This window comes from Homo sapiens, chromosome 6, assembly GCF_000001405.40.
Source record: "Homo sapiens chromosome 6, GRCh38.p14 Primary Assembly".
NCBI classification, from domain to species: domain Eukaryota; kingdom Metazoa; phylum Chordata; class Mammalia; order Primates; family Hominidae; genus Homo; species Homo sapiens.
The window spans coordinates 62,996,552-63,000,712 of record NC_000006.12 but is presented as its reverse complement, the minus strand read 5'-3'; the positions used below and the strand labels follow the sequence as shown (position 1 = coordinate 63,000,712).

Sequence of the window (4,161 nt, the reverse complement as noted above, 5' to 3'; positions counted from 1 at the left end):
ATATTTGGTTAAAAACTAATTTAATTGTTTTAAAGCCTACCTCATATGTTAATAGATAGTTGATAGAACCTATTTTCACTGCTAGAAAATATCTGACTGGTGTCAATGAGGACAATGTATTTTACTGACATTAAGTCATGTAAATCCAACTGCCTTCCTCTTGTTTTTTATTAATCTTTCACAGATTTCATTTTTCTCAGATATTTCTTATAGGGCTCCCAGTACAAAACAAATTATTGCCAACTTTAATTTCTTAATGATTTAAGTCCCTGTTAAAAAAAAAAACTACAGCCACTGAATTAATTGTAATTACTCTACTTCAGTTTCTAGTTCTTTGATAGTCAAGTTAAATAATTGTTCTGACATATTATGGATACATTTTATTAGCATCCTTTATAAAAGGCTTATGTGATCCAAGAAAGAGACATGTTTTCAGGTTGTCTATTCCTTGTCATCTATTTTTATTCAATAAATTTCCCTTGAGTAGCAGAAGTTACTGAAGTTTTAAAGGCAGATTTTGAAATTGACATTGGTGTAGAATACTTTCTACCAACTTGCTGCATATTAAATTTCTTCGCAGAAATCAGATAAATGTTTGGTAGATGATAAAATGAAATACACATTCCCTTTTATGAGTCAGTTTCTGCCTCCAGCTTACAAATGACTGTAAATCATTACCATAGATGGTGCCTTGTAATTTACAGAATGAGCAAAATTCCTGCACTGTGAAAGAATTAAGCACCAAATCAGATAATTTTTACTTCAAGGAAAATTTCTCATTATCCACAACTTTTCTAAGGCAAGCCTTAGTCCTGTTTCCTCCTGAGTGCCAGGAAGATTTGTAGGTAGTAAGAGAAATGCAGGAAAGCCACAGGTCATGGGCAATTGCCTGGACTGCTGAATTGTTTAGGTAAGTCACTAACAACTTCTAAAAGAGTACTAAGATGAGTTAAATGTGTTATGACCGTTAAATGATTTACACCTAATAATTTAAGGTGCAAATTTTGACCTGTAAGATCCAAAAACTGGGACAGAAGAACCAATTTAGGTTAAGTATCTTATAGTGTTTTATTCATTGTGGGATATGATGAGGTTTCTCTTCAAATAGGCTGATCAATCCTTTATTCTTTAATTCATAGTGCCCCCTACCCCTTTTCCCTTTTTCTCTTTTTTCTTCCTTTCTGCCTTTGTTACATGCCCAGACATGCCACAGTACCAGGCATTATCAGTACCAGCTCACATTCCTTTCCTTATCTGGAAAGAATACTAGCTCTCTAGCTCATTGCAGACACCCCTTCCCCTTTCCTCTCTCTCCCTTACGTGCCCACCTTATCTAAAAAAATTTCAAATGTTTAGCCCGCCGGGATTACTTTAGATTGTATGGCCTGACCCCAGCCAATGGGGAAAGTGTACAGGGGCAGGACTTGTGTCAGGAATAAAGGCTCTTGTGCCCCTTTGTTCAGGTGTGCTCTCATGGTGACTGGCCAAGGAGAAGCACCCCTCTGTGCAGAAGTAAAATTACTTTGCTAAGAATCCTGTGTTTGAGTGTTCAATTTCCTTAGGATTTTGAACGTTATTCCCAGCATTCATAAAAAGGCACTTAGAATGAAAGACCCTCTGTTAGTTATGAAAAATGTTAATAGATATTTTTCTAACCCAGAGGAAGCTCTATTCTGATTTAAGAGTTCCCAATCAAAGTAAGCCACTTAAAACAGCCCCATTTAAAAAAAATATTTAAAATATCTCAGCCTTCTTTGGTAAATCATACACTTTACTATTATAGCTTTTTTATTGCAAATTGTGTAAATCTGTAGATAATATGCTATGAATTTTAAAAGAAAAACCAGAGGAAAGCTGTTAGAATTAGAATGGTAAAACTTTTAGTCTGTTGAAGATAGTATACTCTTGTTGTCTTTTCAGATGTTTTCTGACATCTTTTAAAAAGCAGTGATTACTTTCCATGCCATTTTTTTAAAAGTCATTTGTTCTTTCACCATATTTTTGTTCACTCAAATAGCTAGTTCTTTTTTCTTAATAGTATCATTATTTTTTACTGGCATTGTTGAAACAGATACGTGAATATATGTTAATAAAAATATTAGAATTATTAATTTTTAAATTTTCTTTGAGACTGACTCTCACTCTGTCACCCAGGCTGGAGTGTAGTGGCATGATCTCAGCTCACTGCAACCTCTGCCTCCTGGGTTCAAGCGATTCTCATGCCTCAGCCTCTCGAGTAGCTGGGATTACGGGCTTGCACTACCACACCTGGCTAATTTTTTTGTATTTTTAGGAGAGGCAGGGTTTTCCCATGTTGGCCAGGCTGGTATCAAACTCCTGACCTCAAGTGATCCACCCACCTCTGCCACCCTAAGTTCTGGGATTACAGGCATGAGCTACTGCACCCAGCCATTAATTTTTAAATTAATTTTAAACTCCCATATGGAAATGGGGCTGGCCAGTTTTCACTAACAACTGTTTCAGTACTGACTGAGTGGTTAAGTTAAATATTAAAAGCCAGTTCCCTTATACAAAGGCTGGGATGTAACAAAAGCCCATGAAGAGTTTTGCCTAGGCCTTTCCTGGGCCTTAAAGCATGATAAAATAATGAAGGAATTCTTAACAGACCCATTTAGAATTAAACACGTTTTATTGCGGGTCTGAAGAAACTCCCCAGGCCTCCAAAACAAGTTTACTGGGGGTCTGAAGGAACTCCTCAGTGATTTAGCAGGAGATAAGGTAAGGGTAGTCACCCCAGCACCTGGATCCATTTAGATTACATACATTTACTGAGGCTCCAGAGAAAGGTCTTCAGTACACAGACCTTAGTTACAGATTAAAAGGAGTTAATCACACTTAGATGATTCTTTAGATGAATGCACACTTACACATATACATATAGCTTAGAAAGTATATAAGCTCTGGAAAACTTTGGAATTTTGAGTTGGTCTGGCAATAATTTCCAAGCCTTCTCTCTGTAACTGGTTACAGAAATAAAAACTCTGTTCCTCCCCAGTTCATCTGCATCTCATTATTGGGCCACAAGAAATAGCAGCCAGACCATCAGTTTGGTCTGGTAACAGAAATTTTCAAGTATAGTTTCTGTCATCTCAAGCTAAACTTTAAAGAACACTTTCAAATATTTTTTATAAACTTCAAACAGTTTAATATCAATACAGTTTAATACAAACACCTTTGAATAGTTTAATATAAGCTTGAATAATTTAATATAAACAAATTTTGTTTACGATTTGAAGAAATCTCCTGCTTATGACCCTAACTTTTTCAGTTTTGATGGGTGAATACAGCCAGTAGTATAAAATAAGGTGGTATTTCAATGCAGAAAAATAGATAAGCAATGATTTACTTGTTGTGTTTATATGTATGCTTATTATATAACCAAATATAGCAAACTCTTTCAATAAATGTTGATGCAGTCTAACCAGCACCCATTCCCTCTTTTTTGGTTTGTAAAATAATCAATCTTTATTCTGTTTAGTCTAAGCCAACCATATTAACTGTTGCCAATTTTTTTTTCTTTTGAGAAACCTAGAGTTAAGCCAATTAGTACACAGCGTTCTCCTAGAGTTTATTTGTTCAAGAGAGGGTAAATGGACCAATCAGGCTGAACATAGGGATTTACATTCCATACTTAGAAGAAAGTTTCTGTTTCTCACCATACTTGAACAAAATGCATGTTGCCCAGTAGGTGCTGGTAGGCATCTTTTGCTCAAGAACAAAGTCAAAGTCAATACCAAATAAATAAATAAATCCTGAGAAGTGGAGAGATATGGAACCAAAGCCCTAATGGCATCAGGTCAGGATCTTGTTCTACCTCTGGACTTCTTGCTGTGTGAGATAAGAAACATTATCATATTTAAGATTCCTTTTACTTTGTAGGCAAAAGTATCCTAAGTGATATGGCATCTTAAGTATGTTTTTAAGTAAGTAGTTGTAGCACCTATTTAATGTTAAAAATTTACATTTATTGAATTCATATATTCATTTTAATACTGCAGATGACTTCTACATTAGCCTAATAAAACAAAGACAAGCCATTTTAATCTTCCAGTGACATGACTACTGTGAGTACTTAACACCCATTACTTACAAATGGCACCAAGTTCCCAATGTCTCTATCCTAGGGCAGGATACTCTGAG

The 4,161-nt window shown here is 35.4% G+C and overlaps 1 annotated feature.

The window, feature by feature from the left end:
• Window positions 571–1,770: an enhancer, noted in NCBI's record as "MED14-independent group 3 enhancer chr6:63708848-63710047 (GRCh37/hg19 assembly coordinates)". NCBI's record gives its function as "activates an origin of replication core promoter dependent on BRD2, BRD4, P300/CBP and CDK7 cofactors, and independent of MED14, by STARR-seq in HCT116 cells {active_cell/tissue: HCT116}" and the evidence as "EXISTENCE:reporter gene assay evidence [ECO:0000049][PMID:35650434]".